Raw genomic sequence first — 25,032 nt, forward strand, 5'->3', positions numbered from 1 at the left:
GGGTGGCGGGGAAACTAGTACTTTCTACAGTAAAGATACAACAATACATCTTATTCACATGTGTGCAATACAGACCAGGCAAAAGTTGAATCTCAGCTCCTCATTTATATTAATACTTCTGTGACCATGAACAATTTGCTTAATATCTGGGGGTCTCTGTTTTCCCATGTGCTAAACGGGGAATATAAAAACTACTTCACAAGATTGTTGTGACTATTAAAAATGCAATGCAATCTAAGCTTCTAAAAGAATACCAAGGAGATATTAAATGTTCAGTAAATGCTAGCTATTAAATAGAAAGTCTCACACTGACACTTCTATCTGAGAAAACCAAGAATTGAAGCTCTGTTTTGCTTCCTTCACTCTGTGGTGTCCAGCCAAAGCCTTTTGTGTCTGTGAGTAAACAGGAAAGTGCCCAGAAAACACCTCAAATAATTGAAAGCCGGTTTGACTTGAATGGAGGCTTAGGTCAAATTTGCTTCCAAGTTTCATGGATTAGTGCTAATTGTCCCTTGGTGTCAGCCTAATTTTGCCCATCAATAAATTACTGGTTCACATTTTTGGTGGTGTTCTCAAAGGCAATTCAGCCTACATTATTCAAGACGGATTACTTCAAATGCAATTTGAAAAATGGGGAGAGAACATAATAGTTAATCCTTAGAAAGAGAATTCGCAACAAGATTGTAAAACGTTTGGTTAAATACTAGACTCAGGATGTCGAATGCTGACATGCCAAGTACAGTACTTTCCAAGTAGGGAAATTCAGGGCAAGCTGCTCATTTCCCTGGACCTTCTCCTTCACTCTCACCTCCTTTCTCTTTCTATGAAAGGTTCTCCCAGCCTTCCAATCACTGCTGCTATCCAACTTTGGCCACCATTTGGAGAGCAGGTTGGAAACAGGATGGGCAAGATTGAACAGGAGGAAGGCCATGCTCCCATGCATGTGAAAAGACCATGGACACACACAAAAGCACACTCAACTGCATCTTGATACCTCCCAAAAGCAAACTCCTGCAGAGAACTTCAGGATGAACATATGTTTGCTTCATTACGGAGCTTAGGATATTCTATACCTATCTGAACTTCTGAACTATACAGATCAGTTAGACGGCTTCAAATCATCATGGTGCTTTTTTAGGAATTCCAAATTACTGATGCTATAAGGATTCTGCCATATTCTCATTCCCTTTCTCATTCCCAAGGGTCCTGAGAAATTATGCATTTGGGTCATTCCCAAAATGCATGATTTCTCAGGACCCTTGGGAATCACCATTGTTATTTTTTGGGAATCCTAAATTACTGATGCTATAAGGGTCCTGAGAAATCATGCGTTCTACTAGTTTTTAATTTGGGCATGGGAGAAAGGTATTTGAGCACATAATGAAAGCCAGAGGCCCTTTCTCTAGTTAACAGTTGTATATACACATACACAAGCAAAGGAGCAAAATTTTGTGTACAAATCTCAAATCTCCCAGATCTCCTGAAGTCCACCCATGATTATCCTGGTGGGGCATGAACCCCAGCTGAGATCATGTGATCTAACCAACCCCATATTTTTTTAAATTAAAAAAATTAAAAACCTGAAGTCCAAAAGGATTCCAGCAAGATTAAGTAACTTGCTCAACAAAACACATTTGTCAACTGGGAACGAAACCCATATCATCTGACTCCTAGTTAAATTCTATTTCCCCTAGTAACTTGTTTTTCTGTCTTCCATTGTCTTCGTGGTAAAACAGGATGTTACTTGCCTACTTCATGGGATTCTTAGATGGAATATTTACTAAAACTTTTGCACATCATAAATATTTGGGCCAGACATAGTGGCTTACACCTGTAATCTCAGCACTTTGGGAGGCCAAAAAATAGGAGGATTACTTGATTCCAGGAGTTTGAGACCAGCCTTGGCAACATGGTGAAACCGCATCTCTACAATACAAAAATTAGCTGGGTGTGGTGGCACAAGCCTGTAGTCTCGGCTACCCAGGAGACTGAGGCGGGAGGATCATCTGAGCCCAGGAGGCAGAGGTTGCAGTGAGCAGAGATCGCACCACTGTACTCCAGTGCACTCCAGCTCAGGCAACAGAGTGAGACCCTGTCTCAAAAAATAATTAATTAATTAATATTTGCAAGTAATTCCTCCCCACAAAACTTGAATGTTTGTCATTATTTGCATGATATTAATAACAGCTACCCTCATTACAGATGAATTAGGCAAATCATCTTTTTTAAAAAAAAAAAAAACCTTGTAGTGTTATTATTACTAGGCAAATAGTCGTTAGTATACAACAGTTCTTACATTGTGTACTCAGATTTGGTTATGATAAACTCAACACAGCTACAGCCTAAATGAATTTATATAAAACACTGACAGAGGCTAAAGTTATTATAGCTTTAGTCCCATTTCTATTTAGAAGAGTGTAGAAATATTTTTCCTCAGGAGAAAAAAAATGAAATGTAGACATGATTTGGGGTTTGGGGGGTGTTTCGTGTTTGGTTTTCCCAGGTGCCCCAAATTAAACTAACTCACACTTTCTGGCTATCACTCAAACTGAGTTGACTTGGCTACTGCTTTCCCAGATCCTCTAAAAACTAAAGGATTTTCTTCTGGCATTTTAATCAGTGATTAACTACTCCCTTCTTTTTCCTGCTGGGTTAAGTAAAAGATCCATATGCTGGGTGTTCTAGGGAATTTGTTAGGCTATAGATCACAGCCGTGGTGCCAGCCATGATGTGTCTCAAGGGAACTAAAGAAGCCATAAGGAATGTCAAGAGTCACCGGGTTAAAGCCACATTAAGACAGCTGTTACGTTAATGAAGGCCCTGCTTCGAAGAGGAGGTCACTATATGGAAAAGTATGAACTACTGTTTATTGGTTTGATCCCATGTCCTCTGAAAGTTAATGGGCCATTATTATTATCCTTTGACATTCATTGAGCCAGATGAGAATGCTGGGTGCTGTACAAGCTACATGGGTTTGAAATATATTCTGTCTCCATCCTTAGTTTTGACAAAGGCAGGAATGAAAGAGAACAACACCGAACACTCCTCAGTTTTCCATCACACTCCTTGTCTGATCTATTTACAATAAATGTTTATTTTTCCTTACTCACATTGAGTTCAGAGCTGATACTCGGCCTATTTTAAAAATAGATCTAGTGCCAGTGGCTCACACCTGTAATCTCAACACTTTGAGACGCTGAGGAGGGAGGATCACTTGAGTCCAGGAGCTCAAGACCAACCTGAGCAACATAGCAAGACCCCAGCTCTACAAAAAAATAGAAAAATAATTAGCCAGACATGGTGGCACACATCTGTAGACCCAGCTACTCTGGAAGCTGAGGTGGAAGAATCACTTGAGCTTGGAAGATCGAGGCTACACAGTGAGCCATGATTAAGCCACTGTACTACAGGCTGGGCAACAAAGTGAGACTCTGTCTCAAAAAACAAACAAACAAACAAACAAAAAAGCAGATCTAGTAGGTGGGCTTGGCCAGTTACAGAGGACAGGTACCAAATCCTGGAATATAGTGGCCACTCAAAAGAGGCATGATTGGACCTCACATAACATTTGCAGGTAATTGCAGAACTATAATAAAAGCAAAGTAGATTTGAAACATATTATTTATAACATTGTTATATATAATATACTATTATATGATTTAATTTGTCTGCCCTTTTGATTGTGATACAGATTTTTTCTCTGCACTGTTATATTAATATGCATGTTAATATCATAACATTGATATAGTAATATTAATGTTATGTTAATATAATATTTATATAGTATTATATAATATTACTATATCAATACTGTATTAAAATATTTTTCTATTGAAATATTATGACTTAGTTAATAAAGGTTATTTCTACACTGTGTGGTGGGGAGAAACACTCTGTTTCCCAATGATAATAGGTTTCCCAACTTTAAAACACCAGCTCTGTGAACCTTGGTCTATCTACAACTCTTCCTTTCACTCACCTTCCTCCCCACTTCTAGATTACACAATCGGTTGTCCATTCTACCTCTGAATACCTTCACCACCATCTCTTCCTTGCCATTCCCACTGCCACTACCTATCTCATGCCATAGCCCCCACTCCCTGTCACATCAAATGTGAGCTCACTGGCCTGAAACCCAAGACCTCCATAGGATATCCTCAGCCTACCTACCAAACCCTATTTCTTCCACCACCCTACCACTCCTTACATTCTAATCAAACTAACTATTCTCCCAATATGACTAGAGTGAAAAAGAAAGGTTATCTTACGTGTAGCCCACCACTTCTACCTCTCTGTGCCTCTGCTCATATAATTCCCTATTACTAATATACTCTCCTTATGCACCTGGTCCAGTGAATATCTATCTAGCCCGGAAAGTTCATCTTAAATCTGCCCTCTGGGCCCAGCACAATGGCTCATGCCTATAATCCCAGCACTTTGGGAAGCCAAGGCAAGTGGATCGCTTGCACCTGGGAGTTCAAGAAGAGCCTGGGCAACATGGCAAAATCCCATCTCTTCAAAAAATTATCCAGGCATAGTGGCATGCACCTGTAGCCCCAACTATCTGGGAGGCTGAGGTGGGAGGATCACCTGAGCTCAGGAGGTGTAGGCTTCAGTGAGCTGTGATTGTACCACTGTACTCCAACCTGGGCTACAGAATGAGACCCTGTCTCAAAAAAAAAAAAAATTAAATCTGCCTTCTTCATGTACCTCTCTTCATTCCTTCAAGATCTCATCCCTTGAGTTCATGTCCTTTGCAGGGACATGGATGAACCTGGAAACCATCATTCTCAGTAAACTAACACAGGAACAGAAAACCAAACACTGCATGTTCTCACTCATGAGTGAGAGTTGAACAATGAGAACACATGGACACAGGGAGGGGAAAATCACACACCAGGGCCTGTTGGGGGGTGGGGGGCTAGGGGAGGGATAGCATTAGGAGAAATACCTAATGTAGATGACGGGTTGATGGGTGCAGCAAACCACCATGGCACGTGTTATACCTATGTAACAAACCTGCCCCTTCTGCACATATATCCCAGAACTTAAAGTATAATTTTTTAAAAAAAGGTTGGGCATGGTGGCTCATACCTGTAATCCCAGCACTTTGGGAGGCCAAGGCGGCCAGATCACGAGGTCAGGAGTTCGAGACCAGCCTGACCAACATGGTGAAACCCCATCTCTACTAAAAATACAAAAATGAGCCGGGCCTGGTGGCAAGCACCTGTAATCCCAGCTACTTGGGAGACTGAGTCAGGAGAATCGCTTGAACCCAGGAGGCAGAGGTTGCAGTGAGCTGAGGTTGTACCACTGCACTCCAGCCTGGGTGACAGAGTGAGACTCCACCTCAAAAAAAAAAAAAAAAAAAAATCTCATCCTTTCCTCTTCTCAACTCCCATTGCACTTTTTCTCTTTCTGCACTTATCATGTCTGTGTTATTTTTAAATTATTTGTATGTTTATTTTTTTACCTTTCTTAGATTGCAACTCCTTCAGAGAACTGTCTTAATTGATCTTAGCATTCCTTGACTTTCCTAGCACTATGATGATCATATGGAAGTTTGAAGAAAACAATCTCTCTGACTGAGCTCTGCAGCCTGGAAGAGGCTATTTCTGTAAAATTCTGTAATAGGAGAGTTAATTAGCTGCATCTATGAACGTGTTGATCAATCTAGGGACCATGTCAACTGACTAGTCCACTGCTGAGTCCCCAGCCTGCAAATTAAGAATCTGGAAATAACACACAATATTTGCAGACAAGGTGACTTAACTTCTAGGGTGGTGAGGAGTTCGAGGATACCCTACGATATCTGCCATCTTTCAAACACTGTTTTACTAGCTCCAGGAAGTAGTTCTTCATTAATGATGAAAACATTATTCTATACTCTATAGAAACATATTACATCTAAGTAGCCTTTCCAGAAGGTTCAGAGCACCTCTAAGAGTTCAAAAGATAATTCAACATGTTCTTTAAGTAATATAATTTCTTGAAATGCTTCTTAATTATAAAATCGTTAAATGAAGGAATTTCATGTTATGCACCTTTGCACATTTTCATAATTGAAAGGTCACAGAGATGAAGCGTATGGGATCCAATTATCTCTAGACTCACTTTGCAGCTATGCCACCTTGGGTAGTTACTTATATAGTCCAAGTCTCAGTTTCCTTATTTGTAAATGGAGAGTAGCAATCATGGTACCCACCTAGGATTTTAATAATGATTCAATGGGTTAATTCATGTGAAGCACTTAAAATAGTGGCTGGGACAGAGTAACCACTCAAAATTTATTTGCTCTTACTTGTGTATCACCCCCAAAGTCCATATAGTGCTGGTGTACAATAAGGATTCCTGAAAAGTTGAGTTAGTCACATGAAGTGGTGGACTTCTGTGTGTCGTAAATGATATAGTTGTATTCTGTCAGTAAATAATCAAAGTCCTAACAATATGCATCCCTAGTAAAGGGCCATTCCTAATACATTTTTGGGGGGGATTGACATATGTTTTAGATGAGAAGATGCTTGTTTGTTTCCTGTCTGGACTGAAGTAGGACACGGAGGTTTGGGCAACAGTACCTGTACTCGGGCCTCGGTGAGCTTCGCCCTCTGGGCCAGTTCCTCCCTAGTATAAATGTCAGGGTAATGAGTTCTCTCAAAAGCACGCTCCAGTTCCTCCAGCTGTTCTGCTGTGAAGGTGGTTCGGCTTCTGCGCTGTTTCCTCTTTAGTGGTAAATCTGGTTCAGAGTCAATATCAGAGCCTTCATCTGATTGGGGTGCTGAGGCTAAAAGCACAGAAGAACAAAACATCATAAAATGTGAATCAAAAAAATAAAACTGAGATTGAATCCAAGTTCTCTCTCCGACTGCAAGACACCATTACAGTGATCCCTATACCTAAAGTAAAATAAATGTGGATCAAAAAACAAGTCTAACCAATCCGTAATAATTCAAATCCTGGTCTACAGTGCATTCCCAATGTCTTCCATGGACACCAAGCACCCCGCCCCCATGCAGTCCTGCATCATTAAATAATATTTAATCTCTTCTCCTACTCTATCTTTCTGCCCCCTAGGCAGAAATAATTGCTCATAGCATCTGTCATTCTAGGCCAATTATGAGCTCTTAGAAAACAGGGACAGGCCTTATTCCATTTGTATGGCCCTATGCTTACTACTTAATGGGTGCTTCCTTCGTGTCTAATGAATGGATCACATTGAGTTTTGTTTCTGATAAATTTTCACCAACATTTACATTATGAAATCTGTTAAATGTGATTTTTAAAAATATTCCAAACTTGACTTAGTACCTAAGAAGCGAGTAACAGTTAACTATTCCCAGATTCCTATATATTTATAGACTACTGCTCTTATAAAAAATTATATTTAAATCAGTATCTCATCACCAGATATGGGGAAATGCTTTAAAGAAAATGTATGTACTATTAAAATGTAAATCTCTAGAACTGACCTGAGAAGAAGCAGGCAGGCATTGTCTTGTGAACTGTCCCTAACTAGAGTCTGGGTCTCTGCTGAGTGGGCATCTGTCCAGGACAGCTGCTTTATTTAAGAAAGCCAATGCAAAAAAAAAAAAAAAAAAAAAAAAAAAAAGTATGATCCCTTTTGTAAAAAAATATTATGAGTTTCAAGAAGGCAACAACAGATCATTAACCCAATCCCAGGGCCTTCTGAGTGTGTGGCCCTGAGCAACTGCATAAGACAAAAATGTCCCTGAAGCCACTGTGTGGTGGCCTAACACACACAAAACTTGTGTGTATTTGCCTGTACTCACATGTGGAAGGGAATTTCAAAATTGAGTGGGCAGGTACAGGGGCAAGAGAAGCGGGAAGTGGGAAATTTGATACAAATTACGTTAATGATACAAAATGGTTAGTACTCCTGTAAGAACAGGGTCTGAATCTGTGGCTGCAACTAGCAAAACCTGGGCACAAGTGGTTCCATTTCCAGGCCAGAATTTGATGAGGGCAGGGGTGGAGCAGGCATTTTCCCTGTTTCTGCTAGGAATGCATTAGGGATCCCATAGCAAAGTGAACCCTTACAGTAATAGAGCAACGCTGGCTATAGAGGGTTCTGCAGTGTGAGGGAGAATGCATCAGACCAGGGCTACAGGCAGGAAGAGCAGCCCTCTCCCGGGACCCCAGATACTGGGGTAGTGGGCAAAGATCTATCAAAGGGTTATCAGGCCATAGACCCTGAGCCTAGAGGGGGAACCAGAGCAGCCTGGCTCTTGAACACATCCAAATGTGCTCTGAAAATTCCCCAAATAACTAAGGGATCCTGTAAAGAAGGGGCCGAGGTTACTGTCAGCAAATGCAACAGTAAGCCAGAAAATTGTAGATTATTAATGTCAATGTCACACTAACTCATTTGCACCCTCAGGCTGATAGGACCTGGGGAAATGAAGGTGGTGCTAGAAGCAATGTGAATATGTGTAAGTCCTTTACTTCTAATTCTCTTTTATCTTAAACTCCAACTTAACTCTGCCCTACAGAAATCTAAAATTTCATTCTATTTCAGTAGAAATTTTAAACTGCCCCAAATGGTACACATCCAAAATGAACCCATAAATGTGATTTTCAGTTTTCTAACATTTTACTACTTCCATACTTTATTCACATCTAAATATTATGAAACTAAGAGGCAATAGAGTAAATTAATAATGCAAGTGATAATTTTTTTAAATATACCTGAAAACAAATACATGTGCATAAAACAAAAGAGAAGTATTACATATTATTTTTGATTTTTCAATTATCTAATTTAATATAAAATTATTTCATTTAACATAAATCTTACGTTAGGATATTTTACTACTAACTTAAAGAAAGAAAACTAGACTTTCTCTAGCTATGGCAATATTTTAAAGGACAATTAACATGCTAAAAAATACGCTATGCATTGCATTATAAACTCCAAAAGCTCCCAATGCAACTTATATACATGTATGATTGATAAATGTAAGCTAAACTAAATGAGCAATAATTTGTGCCGAGTCATAGAACAGTGTTTCATAAGCTTTTGGAGCATTAGGATGACCTGGAGGGCTTGGTAAAACATAGACTGATGGATCCCCTTCCATGGTTTCAATTCAGTAGATCTGAGGTGGGCTCCAAGAGTTTGCATGTCTAACACATTCCCAGGTGATTGATGCTGATTCTACCGACCCCAGATAACACTGCCCACCTCTATAGAATATTCTAGATTAATTCTTGTCACTCTCAAAATTTTCAACTCTGTAAAATACATCTGCCACAATTAACTGAAAGTCACTCCCACATGTATATTTTTAAATTGTGAACAATGTGCTCCCTAAGAAACAAATTACGTATTCCCCTAAGAAGACAAATTTCCATAAAATATTTTCCTTCAGTGCTTCCAGTTTCTAACCTTTCTTTCCAAAGTGAATTCAGGTGAAACACTCAATAGCATTTAAAGACTGACCAAAAACTTCCTCTGCCCAAGAGAACCCTAAATCTTTGCTTGTACATTCTCTTACTATGATCCCATTAGGATAATAGTATGTGGAAATTTTCATGTTTCCTTTGGGAGTCTCTGGGGTTATTAAATTCTTTCAAGTAAATATGATGTGCCATGCACTGTCAGATCAATTAATCAAAATCGTCTCTGGTTTCTGAAGAAAAAGAATGGTTAGATTTACAAGCACCAGCGAGAATTAATCCTGAGGGTCAAGACCATGGTGTTTCACCTTAAAAATCAACATTCCCCAGAATATAAACTGGGTGAGCTCAAAGCCCTTCTCTGCCTTGTTCACTGCTGGAACCCTTAGAACACAGTAGGCACTCAATAAGGACACGTTGAATGAATGCCAAGTGTGGGGCAAATTTCAGATTTGCTCCAACACTGATTTATTTGCCACTGTTTTACATCTTTATTCTTAAAATGGAAATTCTCCTCTTATGACATCTCCCAACATCTATTCAGATGGGCTTTGGAAGTCTGTGAGGCCTGAACAATCATGTTGAATGTTTAGCAGGTATTTATATACCTGCATTGTTTGGAAGAATGATTACCAATTTTTTCAGAGGATTGTGGGCTTTTTTAAAGATGAAAACTAGCATAGCTAGTAATGAAAAGCCTCAGAATTTGGGACAGTACACCTGTCAAACAGGAATGCAGGTATCCTAAGGTGAGTTCAGGGAGGACAGAAACTTCCAGTGGAGGAGAAGGGCAAAAGCTCCCTTGATCCTGACTTTGAGTATAAATATAGGCCATGAAAGCAGGGCCTGGTGATTCTTTAAAAGAAAAAAAAAGTCTCAGAATTTAAGAGTTCAATAGGACAGCCGTTACCACCAAAAATAAAACTCTCTTTAACAAGCTTACAAATCACTACTCTTACTTCTAGACTGTTTATTCAAAAGCAATGGAAAGGTTGCATCTAACTGGGAAAACCACCATATAGCATAATTTCAGAAGATGTTGAGGAAATGATTTGCCTGATTTTTCGGCTGGAAACTTATTTGAGAAACCAGATAATTTTTGGCAATATGAAGCCACAATCTTACAAGATAATTCTAACTTTTCCCCATCTGTAAACCCCAAAGGGATGTGGGCTTTAAAATATGTAAAGTCAGCAACCCAAGATTAATCTGCCGGCTAGGAAAAACTAGCTATTTCTAAACATGGAAATACTACTATTTCTTATATCATTCAATAGAAATAAAATTTATTTGTACAGCACTTGATTCACAATGATCACCCCAATTTGAATCATTTCATTTTTGTTTGTTTGTTTGTTTTAGAGACAGGGTCTTGCTTTGTTGCCCAGGCTGGTCTTAAACTCCTGGGCTCAAGCAATCTTCCCACCCCAGCCTCCCAAATAGCTGGGACTACAGACTCACACCACCTGGCAGAATCATCCAGTTTTTACCAAGAGCAAAACTAAAACTTAAATCCCATTTTAAGAGCACATAGGAGGGCCATTTTTTTGGATTTCATCTATTTTACATACTCAGTTTTACTTAAGCTACTAGAATCAATTGGATAGGAGATACAAAGAATCTAATTCTAAATATTACACGGAAAGTAAAAACAAGGCTTTCTTTCAGGAAGCTTAATAGAAAGAAATTATATCTTTTTTCTCTATAGAATATCTAATGCTATGATTTGGAAACCACAAATGTGTTAGCAGGACAGTTGTGTAAATGAGTTAATAAATTGCCAGGATACAACAATTAGATTAAATATAAACTCTTTGGACTATTACTACTGTACAACTTTAATATTAAGGGAAGATTCTAAATTACACTTAAGTTGCTCAATCATATTTTACAGATGCCTTCACAAAGAAAATTTCCTTCATTATTAGAGATACTCTTCCCAAATTTGAAATTCCAGAATAGATCTCATAAGAAAATCCATATCAATACATCATGCACAGCATTCTAAATGGAAATTTCATTGCTTTAAATTGCAAAAAGATGTAGATTTTATCCCAATCTATATTGCTATCAGATTTAGAAATTTTTGAATCTATTATTAAAACCCCTTTACAATCCATTATCTGGCTTACCCATTAGTTTAACTCAATGTCACCAATGACCCTAGAGCAACGCTTTCCAGGAGGATGAGGATTTCTCTCCCTTCCCCCCTAACTTCACAGCAATCCTAGGAATTAGATACTTATCCCACTGTACAGAAAAAGGAAACTGAGACTCCAAGAGGTTGTTCAGTTCATACAGCTAAGGAAGCTAGAATTTGACCCAGATCTATGGGACTTCAGAGGACATGCTTGCTGGCTTGCTTCTAGCTTAGAGTATCTTAAATGAGTGTTGAGTCTTTTATCACATGCACACACACACACACACACACACACACACACACAGTTCTTTTGAAGAGGAATAACAGAAATGAACAAAAACAGAAATTCAAATATCAATCACTTAGCTAATCACCACTATTGCTACCATTTATCCCAAATTTTGAAAAACTGCCCTGCATAAAATGAAATCTACAGAACTACTAGAGTTGGATCAATATTATACACCAATCCAAACGATTTTCCAGTGGATTCAATTCAACAAATACTTATTTAAATCTTTGTATGTTTCCAAGGTATAGTTTTTAAACAACAATAAGGCACTAAGAAATAAATCAACTTTGCCAAGATATTAAATGGATTTAAGAAATCAAAGTAGTTCATCTGACCATTTGCAGTCTTTACTAAGAACCATCACAGACCATTGATATCTAGGGTCAGTCTGGAACCTGCCAATAATCATAAGCTGGTGAACTGATTATTCATTTTATATCTTTATTAAAGTTTTAATTTTGGTATTTTGTATTACAATGAATGTAATAAAAATATAACAAGAGCTAAAATGGTCTTCTGAAGCAAAAGTGCAGGAAGGAATAACTGGAAACATATCAGGATATTCTCAGGTTATTCAGCAGAAACTCCAGTGTGATCACTGAAAGCATCACCTCTCACCGAAGTATTTCAACTCTGTGCTTTATAAGAAAGTTCGATCTCAAGCTAATTTTAGATACAGGAGCCAAATTGTTAGTTATCCTAATCATCTCACATTAACTCCCAAGATTACACTTGGGAAAATGGACATTGTCAGTAAAAAGAAAGAAAGGATCAAGCACAGGGCAACTGTCATACCCCCACAGGATTACAAACTCTTCCTTCAGAGACAAATCAAACTGGGAGGAGAAGGCAAAAGTATTACCACCAGCGGGCTAACCATGAAGTTTAATTAAAGAAGGAATTACAGAATTAGAGAGTATGTCTTTGTCCGTTAGCCCCTTGTGACCTCCTCTGTAGCCTCGGGAAATATTTCATCCTAGTTAACACTATTATACATGAAATCTTGCCTCAATTTTATAGGGATTTAGTCATGTGGAATTCTGTAATTATTGGTGTTCAGACAAATATAATTCAGAGATGGGAGACAGGCAAAAAATGGAGAAACAAAATAATTCACAAGCATGAATTTTGTACATTGTCTTTCTTCTCAGCAAGACGTTTCATTTGAATAATTAAAGAATCAAAACATGACAACCATTTAAATTCTATGTTTGCCCTAGATATAATACAATGTGATTTACAGACATGGGAGGAGGTGGAGGGATCTCTGGAGGCTGAATTTCCTAGTCATAATTTATTTACTATAAGATGGCCTCATACCAAACCCGATGGTCTTTTCGTCAGTTTTAATCTTTCTGAGCTAGATTTGTGAGCACTTTTACTCCCAGCTGTGTTTCACTGAAAAAAGAACAAGATAAAAATAAGAATCCTTCCTGAGAGCTCCATGAAGCCTTTTTATACTGCGAGTCTGATCACTTAAGGGTATTTCACAAGTATATTCCAGAAGGTCTTTAACAGGTCAACTTGAAGTTTGATGAACCTACTTGGCTAATTGCAGAAGGTCTCCTGCGCTTGTGAGTTTTGCCATTCAACGTGAAGGGTACAATGGGACAACTAACTGTTTTCTGATCTGAAGTAGCCCTTTTACGCTGAGAAAGATGTGAATGACCTCTCTCGTGTTTACTCGGGTGAAAGTCAGGAGGAGTGAAGCAAGACTGATATTCCTTTGCAGACCCAGAGTAAATGACAAATGACATTTTCCCTTTGTGATCTTTGGGATTTTTGTTGACTTATTTGGAGGCTTTTGTTGGATCCCAAGAAATGGCCTGTGGCTGAGGCCTATTCTACCGATTTCCACGCTCCATCTGTGGAATCCATCAGCAGGGCATTTACCCTCATTCAGGGTTCTGACACCTGCCTGGCAGGGCGCAGGAGACACAAAGAAAGCTGGAGTGGATGAGAAAGGGGAGGTTGGGGTGGGTTTTTTTTTCAGAGAGAGAAGGAGGGGGGAGGTTGAAATGGATACACAGTAGGGGTTAATCCAAGTCAGTTGAGAGACTTCAGCACCTGGAAGCTTCTCTTCCACATTAATTCACAAGCTAAGAAGTAATCAGCGATGTTATTTTTAATTTATTTTAAAATTGTATATATGTTGAGAAAAGAAAACAGATATGCAGGTGGAAAAAAAACAGAGATTTAAAATAAAATTTTAACGTGTAGCTAGAACTGTACATTGTGTAACTATCAAGCCATACATTGAACTTTCCGGAATTCTTAACCCAGAACTAGGGTCCGAGTAATTGTTATTTTGATAAACAATTGTGAGTTGATAAACTGGGAGGGATGGTTTACAACCTGTTCAATGGTCTATTTGGTGGTGGGGGTGAGGGGTAGGTAAAGGGGTCTCATTTTGTTTTTATTCCCTCTATGATTTCTCCCCGAAATGTGCCAGCAAAAGACTCTTTAGCAAGTGCAAAAAAAAAAAAAATAGAATTTTTGGGAAGGATATGCTGAGCTTTCTTGAGCAAAGGTTCTTTCAAGAACACTAAATCTAATTAAGACCCTCCAGCCATTTACCTACTCTTGTTCCTGCCCAGCAGTCCCCTATTTTTTGGCTGGAGAAAAGTAACGCTATTCCCCTCCCTTCTGACCCAAGCCCTTCCCTCGGAAGCTGCCGTCTCACAGCACGAGGTCATTAGAAGGAAAATAAGCTCCTGCCAGGTTGGGGCTAATCAAAATAGCACAAATAAACCCTGACACTCAACAACTCCCCGAGTGCCTGCTGCCCTGGGAGGAGAGTACAGATTGGTTATGAATATGGCCGGCCACGGGGGCAGTACAGGAGGGCCTGGCCGTGTGCTCCGTTGCTCCGGAGTTATTTTTAATGCACAACATGGACTATTGGGTGTTTGTTTAAGATAAGGGCTGACAAGCAGAGGTTGGCGGCACGGCAAGCTGCCTCTGAAGTGCTGAGCTGCGCAGCCCCAAAGCCCCCCAACATCCTAAGCTTCTCAGAATTTTGAGTTTCAGGTGTGTGCAGGATTTCTATCCACATTTCCTTGAGGAAACTTTCTCTGGATGGAGTTCTGTCTCAAGCCACCACCTGACCATTGGTCATCGAAAAGTCCTCCTTTCTAACAACAGCAGCAAACAAGAAAGGCTTATTTCTCCTTCATTCATTCATGCAGCCCTGCTAGTGATTATTTTTAGTAGCTGTATTCACTGGTATGTTTATGTAAAACCATGCTTGTGTCTTTTTCAACCACTCATACAAGCAACATTTTGCTTAAAGGAGCCACAAAATACCCACCAACCCGTACCTGTTTAAGCAACTCCTTTCGAAGGCTTAAAGTGAAGGAGGAATTTGTTATTGGCTTGAGAACCCTAACACTGACCCAAATTAGCCCAGTGGCTTCTTATGTGTGTATATGTGTGTAACAAGAATTCCTTTTACAACACGAATGACATCGCCCTTTCCTACAGTCTCCTGCAAAAGATTTCTATTTGCAATTGTTTTTAACGGCTTTTTAAAACGCCATGGTAACTACCACCAAAGCATTTCAAAGAGAAAAAGAGAGGAAAGTACACAAGAAAATGTGTCCCTATTCAATTAGGAAAACTGATTAATTAATTAATCAGCTAACAGCATTTTAAGAATAGTCTCCCATGATAACAACTTTCTCCCCACCTAAGAGCTTAAAAATCAGTCATAATTAAAATTAAGAGCCAGGGCTGCTATCTACAGTAAGGCTCCATGTCTCTAAAAGCAGTAAGCTAAATTCTAGTTTACTGGGATTGGATTGCAAGGGGCGCAGAAAGGTAATTTGCACACTGAAGGGGAACAGGAAAACAGTAGTTCTCGTGAAAGGAAAAGGGCCAAGTGACTTTTATTTACAATTGCCAAGAGAGAGGCCATTATTGACCATATGTGCCACAATTGCCCTCTTATCGCGGGCTGGCCATCATGTCCTTTGGGAGCTGTTAATGAACTGGGTAATTGAGCTGCTGACATGTGTTACCAAAACAAAACAATAGGAAGAAGAGACAAATGAACATTTTATTTGCCAATCAGAGTAGGTTCAGCTTTTCACGGAGCTGCCGCTAAGTAACTGACTGAATACATAAAACAGTGCGTTGAAAGCAAGCAGATGCAGACACAATAATAGTTAACTGACAGCTTATGGCCCATCTGTGCTTAACATTTTGTTAAAGAAATTACTTGACTTGCTAAAGAGACAAATCATACAGCTGCCCCGAGTGCTGCATTATAAGAGATAAATCATTAGCTAAACTGTTTCATGCTTAAAATGACAATGCTTATTAACAGTTATGTTGGGACATTTTGTCAGCACAGCTTGACACAGTTATTACTTACTAAAAATGTGACAACTCGTAGATATTCAATGGAATTGAGTCAGAATGAAAGAACACTTCAAACAATTTGAAAGAACAATGGGCGTTTTTAATCTCTCACAATTAAATATGCATTTCTAAGATGTTATAAATGAAAATAATTAACTCTATGAAATAGGACATAAGATCATGTTCCCTGTAGTAATGATATACCCTTCTGTCATTTACATCTTACTTATTCAAAACTGCAGAATTTTAGAAATGCAGTCATTCTGGGTTGATTACTATGACAGAATAAAATCAGTGATCGAACAAAAAATAAGCAGATTAAAGTCATTGTTTCTAGCCATTTCATTTTTTCAACATATCTTCTTCCTTTGGAAACAAATATTTCTTTAATAGGGAAAGAAAAACCATGTTGTAAAAGACTAGTTTTATGAGGGGATTTCGCTTATGTTTTTGTTACTACAACTGAATTGAAACCACGTTTTTTTTGATCCAAGTGTGTTTCGTCCATTGAACAACTTACTTCTGAAATCATAGCTATGTAAACTGGTTAACTAGAGGCAGAACACAGATCTCTCAAAGCCCTTCTTGTGATGGATTTTTTACCATTATGGACAAAATTAACTTAATAATAGTAATTATTATATAAGAAAAGCAGCTACTTACTGACCTGCTAACAGCTTCCTCCGCCCAATCCCTGTTCCCTGCGAAGTCCTTGCTGTGCATTTTCTTTCACCTTTAACAAAACCCTCTTTGGAGGGATACTGTCATCCCCATCTTACAGATGGGCAAAAATGAGGTCTAGAGTGATGTTACCTACCTGATTCATGAGAACTCAGAGAGGTTACCCTAATATAAAATCATATCAGCATTGTCATTTGAGAAATAGGATTGATGAGGGTTGAAGGAAAAACTGTGGCCAATATCTTCACTTCTTCTTTCTTCTTGATCCACTGAGCTAGGACTCAGATATCACAACCCTGTAAATCAGTTGTGAAAACATAAGCATAAAAGGTGAGTAATACTTTCAGTGGTGGTTGGTGTAGGTGGAAATTATGTTCTGTACAGTTACCAAGAAAGAACTCTGCTTATGAAATCTAAACCTTAGCTATATTTACAGAACTTTGAATAAGACATGAGTGTTCAATAAGTCTCATGACATAATTGACAAAGACAAAGTACTTTGCCTTCATCCTTATTTTCCACTATCAAATATTTTTGCTGTTGTGTGCATATGTTGTTTAAAAGTCAACAAATAAACAAAGGTTCAATATGTAAAGGAGATAACAAGTTAGTTATACAGAGAGCCTCTTGGAGCAGGTAGAAAACAAAAGAATTCTCCTGTCACCCTTACTAGGACAAAACTACCGAAAGATACACAAAACCTAAACAGCTTTATCCACAAGGAAACTTTGCCAAGATTAGCATGACACGAGATGTTTGGAAAATAAAAAAAAGGCAGGTTTTAGAAGAAAGTTAAATACTACACTTTTTGTGCCAAAAGCCTATGCAAAGAAGTAAGAAGACAAATGAGTAGAGAATTGAAAATGCCAAGACAAAGCATTTACAAAATTGCAGAATCCTTGAAAGGAGCCCTGAACCAATCCCTTCATTATACAGATGAAGCCCAGAGAGAGCAAGTGAGGTTATCTCAAATGACACATCATGAAAGAAACATTTATTAAATGCCTGAGATGTGGCTGATACTGTCCTTTGCACTAGGGATGCAAATATGAATAATATATGGAGCCTAAACTCAAAAAGTAAAACTCTCATTCCAGTACTCTTTCCACTAAGGCAAAAGAAAGTGTCAGTGTACATAGGAGTTAATCTAGTCATGCCCTGTGGCAACAGAAAGATTAAATAGCCCATCAAAGCTGAAAAACCTAGATATGTTATTTACTAAGAAACAGAGGCATAGATTCTGTGATCTTTAGTATAAAGATCAAAATAATACATAAATGCTTTTAACGACACTTCCCATATGGCATTTCAAGATTGTTTCTTTGCTTCCCATCTTCTCTTGGGTTCTATAAAAAAGAAAAAGGGTAGCACAGGAAGCTTGTTTTGAAAATCCAAATCTTATCTGGGTCAATTATTGCTTGTTGGAAGATTGAAAGAGGTAATAACTGAACATAGGAGAAAACTCTTTTCCTGGAGGCAACAGAGAAGGCTGAGCTTAATCCTTGCTGGCAAAGGAATTAGCAGCAACATCAAGGTCATCATCAGAAATCATGCTTGGGATACCTACTGTGCAAGAAGTACTTCCCTAGAGGCCGTGAAGAGGGGATAATGAATGAGAAGAGAGTGTGATTCCTCCCCTTCATCGTGCAAAAGTATAAGTCTCCTGTCTACAAGGTGGTCCTTCAGATTAGTGTCACATCCAACCAATGGACCTAGGGGAGGAATTGGCAAACCAGTCAAAATGACTAAATAGATGATGTAAATGATTTATCACCAGCCTTAGGTAGGGACAGCTGCTTTTTGAAATTTTGTCTTTTTGTGTCTAAGCAACAGTTGCCATTGAACTTAGAAGAGGTGATATCAAAGGTTTGGGCAAAGGAAGTTTCATGTCATGGTGATGTGTCCTACTGCTTAGGAGAGAGGCCAAACTACTTCAAATACCCAGATGGCCCCTTCCTCTCTGATTTGGGACAAGCTTATTAACCCTCTGAATCCATTTTCTCATCAGCAAAGTAGGGTTTAAAACATCTGCTCCAAAGACTGGTTTTTAAGGAAAGGAGATAGTTTGCAAAACATAACACAATTCCTGATACACAATTTATCCTCAGCAAATGTTATCCCCTCTGCACCTATTCCCCTTCTTGTTAACCAGTCCTACCAGGCATAAGGGAATAGCATGTGAAGAATGTTCCCTACATCCTAAGACTGAGAGAGAAAAATCACCACCAAAGCTTTGCAGGTATTTGTAGAAGTCCCAGAATGTGTACAATAAGCATGATCCAATCTCCCATCTGCTTCCTCTTCAGAAGAACCCGCCCATAGTCAGACAGTATATTGTTCACCAAAAAAAAAAAAAAAAAAAGATATTCAGCTCTTGCTCATTCCCAATTCCCTTAAAAATCCAAAACAAAGATCAAAGTTACTCAACTTCACCTAACCCAGGACCTGTATCTGTACTGTGAGATCAAAAATTAGGCCGAGTGTGGTGGTGCATGCCTGTAATCCCAGCACTTTGAGAGGTTGAGGTGGGCAGGTAACTTGAGGCCAGAGGTATGAAACCAGCCTGGCCAATGAGGCAAAATCCCGTCTCTAATGAAGATACAAAAATTAGCTGGATATGATGGTGCACACCTGTAATCCCAGCTATTCAGGAGGCTGAGGCACGAGAATCACTTGAAACTGGGAGGCAGAGTTTGCAGTGAGCTGAGATCATGCCACTGCACTCCAACCTGGACAACAGAACGAGACTGTCTCAAAAAAAGAAAAAGAAAAGAAATAGAATAAAATTAAGGTAGCTATGAAAGTAAATAAATTCAGTGCTCCCAAATACCTCAGGGCCTAAACAGGAAGGCCAAGCTTAACAAAAGTCAGGCAACCAGCCTAAAAGAAATTAAGCACATGCCAACATTTAGTTTGATTTTCATGGGGAAAACCTGAATATATTTGCTTGGAGGCAAATTCTTGTCTTCTCTATGTCTACTGATATGGATCTGCACAGGCAAAACAAAGTATAATTGTGAGCAATTCACCTTCTGATCATTTTTATTAGTGTCCACAACCAATGTGAATAGGTCAGGTACCCAACACCAGAAAAACACAAGAATTTCTTCAGTAGCAGGTTTCTGCATGAATTATTGGACAACTGCCTTTCTTTTCCACATTGCCTTTTCAGGGACAATCTTGCAGAACTGGAGGGAAATGAATAAGGAAGTGATATGTGGGAGAGAGTAAAGGAGGGGAGGAGAGAAGAGAAAATAACTGAAGAGAATAAAAGAGGGGAGAAAGAAGAGAAGAGAGGCCAGGCACTGTGGCTCACACCTGTAAACCCAGCACTTTGGGAGGCCAAGGCAAGTGGATCACCTGAGGTCAGGAGTTTGAGAACAGCCTGGCCAACATGGTGAAACCCCATCTCTACTAAAAATACAAAAAAAAAAAAAAAATTAGCCGGGTGTAGTGGGGCACACCTGTAATCCCACTTACTCCGGAGGCTAAAGCAGGAGAATCATTTGCACTCTGGAGGCAGAGGTTGCAGTGAGTTGAAATCATGCCACTGCATTCCAGCCTGGGTGACAGAGCGAGACTCTGTCTCAAAAAGAGACAGAGAGAGAGAGAGAAGGATCAACTTTCCTTTCTAGCAAAGAAGGATAGAAAATAAAGCAATAGGTGGTTTCAGAGTCAATGGGTTCACCATGACCACTTTTTCCCCAAAATTCTCCTCTGACAAGGCTTTCTGAGTTAGGAAAGCCTGCTCTGAGGGACTGAAGTTGAGGCTGAGGATCTGACAATGTGTCCTAATCCCTGGCAACTTTAAATAAATTAAAGCTTTTCCTGGGTAAAAACCAAAAGTAGCCCCACTCGTTCTTCCCACCCACACCAGCCCATGGTTTTAACTGGAAATCATCCCATCACTATGTCAAGACAGATGCCAACATTTAAAGAAACTACTGCCAATTCAGTTCAAACTCAAGCTCATTCTTCACCACCCAATTTACATGTTCGTTCCTAAGAAAAGCTTTTTGAGCAAAATATGTTTCTTATTTCATTGTGCGTTTTTGTTTTCATACTACAAAAGTACATTACATTATAAAATAAAATTTGAGCAATGTCTAAAAATAAAAAATAATGATAGTCCCAGAACCAAAAAGAATTGCTATTGATTTTAAATTAGAGAATTATATTATACAGATGGATGGGTGGATGGATGGATGGATGGATGGATCAATAGATCAATAGATAGATATAGACAGATCCAACTCCTTTGCTGTGTTTCTTCGCATTCTTTTTTTCTGTGTAATTATTAACAAAATATAAGTTTTTAAAAACTTTCTTAATTACACATTAAAAAGGTAAATAAAACTCTTTCCTCCAGCAAGTTTTCAAGTGAATTTATCCTTGTTATTTTAGCAATAGCACAAGTTGCTTGGTTAATAGTATTGTTTATATTTGAAAATTTAACTTTCTTAAAGTTGTTTTCTGAGATTATAAAGCACTACTCCTTTTGATTTGTTCATATTTACCTGTGAATGCATTTGGATGGCCAGATATGAAAATTTGCCAATTTCTCTATATGAGGGCTGAGACAAATGCACATATATTCTCATTGTCTTTGTATAACTCAGGTGTCTAATTCATCCAAACAAACATTGAACCCACTTATACATCTCTCCTTCTATTCTCACAATAAGTTAGCCACAAGTTTAAGAAAGCTTGTCCAGGGCTGGGTCATCAGAGATTGTTGTCCTTACAGCATCCCTCCCAAGTCCATGTCTTTATTCCTATTCAGGCCTCAATGAAGTAGGAGGGGGCTCTTCAAATATTTTCTTCTTTCTGATAGAAGAAGCTAGAGCAGGATGAGAGTGTGAATGGCTGAGTTTAAGCCTCTGCACAGAGAGAGTGACAAGAGAAGAAAACCAGTGGAAGCACAGGAAGACAAATCCCAGGTAACTAACAATGTAACTAAATTGCAGGGAGAAAATTAGAAATAGTTTTTTAAAATTTTTTCCCACTATTAGTCAGAGACGTTCATGTTTTGTGCTAAATGTGCTGCTTAGCATAGAATTTTAAAACCTAGAAATCACTTTAAATATCAGCAGAAAACTCTTTACTCTAGATTTGAAAAACTCAAGAAACAAAAACTGAGTTTCAGAGGAATGAAATGATACCTCCATCATCAACTGGCTTGGTGGCAAGTTAAATTTCAAACCTATATCTCTTGAGTTCTAAATTCTGGCTTTTTTCATTTTATCACATGATCAACTCATTTTTTTCTGTGGATCTATAGGTGAATTTACTCCTATATTCTAATGGTAGCTAGAGTCCTCCTACCACCAACAAACCCACTGAATCTGAAAATTAGTGGAATGAGGTGGACTCATAATTGGGCCCAGAGAGGAAAAAAAAATTTTTTTTTAGCGTCTTAACCATTCTATTTACATCTAACCATTATATAATGCTGTTTTGTTTCTGATTTTTAAATTCTCACTATATCTCATTATATCTACCTCATTACATCTTTATAACTACTCTGTGAGTTGGATATTATCTTTGTTTTAAAAATGACATTGATAAAAGAACCTGCCCAAAGTCTCAGCGGGTCAATTACATGTCAGAGCTTCAAAGATAATCATCAGTCTTCACTCTAAATATGCATTAAAATGTCCTCTGGATCATCTATTGCTTAGTATTATTCACAAATTTTTTTCACTCAAATAACATGTATATTCAATTACTGATTAATAACCAATTTTATAAGAAATAATAATAAATTCCAAAGTAAATTAGCTGTAAAATATAGAAAACTAGTAATTAATGTGAAACTGAACATGTACACAAAAATCTGCTAAGAATTCACTTTATGGCATTTAAAGTTTTCATTAGAGTGGAACAAAACGACTTCCCAGAATTTCATGTGCTTGCCAAAATGGACCAACTGTTTGTCATAACTTGGCTCCCTCACTGTCTGTGCTACCTTGAATACCTTTCTGCACATCTTCACACAATGCCACATGCAGGTCTCAAAGCCCAGTTTCACAAAGCATTCACTGAACCTCACAGCCATCAATGCCCCTCCCTTCTCTGTACTGCAAGAGCATTTTGTACTTTCCATACACACCGTGCCTTTCCTTGGTAATTAAACTATTGACTACAACTTGCAGGTCAACTCTTGTTGCAACCACACTTATTTCTCTGATTGACCACTTCCTTGAATTTGTATCCATTTAGCTGTGTGTCCCAGCAGTACTTTTTCATTTTAAAGGGTCAAATAGTCAGAGGTCAGCAAAGCAACTAGTAAGTTTATACAGACAAATCTAAAAAATGCAAACATTGCCTTACTAAAAGCAGGTTTTGAGGGAGCTTGGTTCTTTGCTTGCCTGTTGAGTAGTTTTGTAAACAAAAAATTAGAGGTCATTTTAAGAGAAATGTCTTTGTGTGGTAAAGTTTAGTGGTTATTTTGACTGTCACAATGCTACAAAAAATCTGAGGAAAGGAGGAAAAACTGGCTGATGGTATGATACAGCATTATCCCAAAATAAGGAAAGTGACTGAGGACCATGTGATCAATTCTACTTCAGTCTTTCATAGGCTTGCAGTTAATTTTGGAGGCATTCACAGACAGTAAACAAGGAGGCTCTTTCTTGGTTTCAGTATTTACCAATGGAGAAAAAAACTGTGAACGTGTTTAGTAAACTGTAACATTCATGTAACTTACATGTTTTCAGCAGCAGCAGCACCCCCACCAGACTGTTATTATTACAGTAGATAATAAAGCACCAATTAAATAAACTTTATTAGCAAGAATTAAATTGAAGAGGCATTATATTAAGCCTTTCAGTTTCTACAAAAAATAAAAACATAAGAGCATGAAGTCATTTTCTCTGATCAACTAAATACACTTGCCCCTTTTTTTCTCAAATGTCGTGATTCTTCTCTTTGAATACAAGAAGACATCAACAATACCATTCCTCTCTCAGCTCAGACCCTTTCCTTGAGTAAATCTTTCCTTTTCCCATTTTCATCTTCAGTCTTAGGCCTTAGGAAAGGTTTACTCTTCAACTTCCAGAGTCCTACATATTTGTCAACAAAGAGGTTTTTTTCTTCTCCCGTTTCAAAAAAGGTTTGAGTAAATCCTAGCCCAAAAGTGCAGTGTTAGAAGTAGGTCCATGTTTTGCAGAGGTTTGAAGCTTTTCCGATTTGGGAAGATCCACTTTAAGAACACAAAACTAGCTTTCTTCTGCATAGTCTACAAAATCACATGACCACGTGACACATTGTAAGGGCCCTTTGCAGAGATTCAGAAGAAGCCCTTGCCCCCGGGGTCCCGCAGTTCTCTCCACTGTAAATTCACTTCTGCCCATGAACCTCTGGTGAAGCCAGTCTTCAAGTGAAAGACACTTTCCTTCTATGTCTGCCCTTCCTGCTAATGACACAGTATAAAATATCCCTAAATAACAGTAACGACAGCCCTCCCCTGATCCCCAAATAGCAGGAACAATCAAGTCAATCAATATTCATGCTTATAAGCTACCTAGAGTCTTTGATAGGAGAATAGGGTTTCTTTCCCAATTCCACTTGAAATCAACCTACCTTGACTTATGAGTAAATGGAGACATATAGGTCATGGATAGTTCAGAGAACCTCATGAATAAAACTGTGGTTTTATTTTTTGCTTTATGTCCTACCCTTAAAGAAATGTCTTGAGAACCTGGACTTTATCACAGGTAGGGGGATCTTATGAGCGTGATTGCACCCTTCCCATCACTCTGTTTCCTCCATGTGCATGTCTTTACACTCACTAAGCCTCAGAACACAGCTGAAATAGTTTGTGAAATTCTATTATGAATGTATCTTCTGTAGTGAATATGTATTACTTTTGTGCAATGGAAGTAGTTCCATTATTGGGAAGTAACCCCCAAAAAGCTTTGGTATTTTCATGAGAATTTGCAAACAACCTTGAGTCAATTCAAGATTTTAGCCAGCATGTATAATCTTTTTGTCCCTAAAAAATGATACTGCTAGTACCCTCCCAAACTTGAAAAAAATCAAATACCACTAAAAATTCTATGCATGTCAATTCACTTTGTAACATCTTGCAGAGGAAATACCTTCACCACAGAAACTTCGAAAAAGGTATTATGAAAAAGGG

At 38.4% G+C, this 25,032-nt stretch overlaps 1 protein-coding gene across 6 annotated transcripts in view; it reads right to left on the reverse strand.

Moving 5' to 3' along the window:
• PAX3 (paired box 3) overlaps nucleotides 1-25,032 on the reverse strand; it is a 99,112-nt gene that overhangs the window by 25,616 nt on the left and 48,464 nt on the right. For all 6 annotated transcript variants that reach the window (NM_001127366.3, NM_181460.4, NM_181461.4 and 3 more), the window contains exon 5: nucleotides 6,576-6,781. In NM_001127366.3, the coding sequence (NP_001120838.1) occupies nucleotides 6,576-6,781 (206 nt within the window). The remainder of the gene's footprint in view (nucleotides 1-6,575; nucleotides 6,782-25,032) is intronic.

The sequence above is a fragment of the Homo sapiens genome, chromosome 2 (genome assembly GCF_000001405.40).
Source record: "Homo sapiens chromosome 2, GRCh38.p14 Primary Assembly".
NCBI lineage: Eukaryota > Metazoa > Chordata > Mammalia > Primates > Hominidae > Homo > Homo sapiens.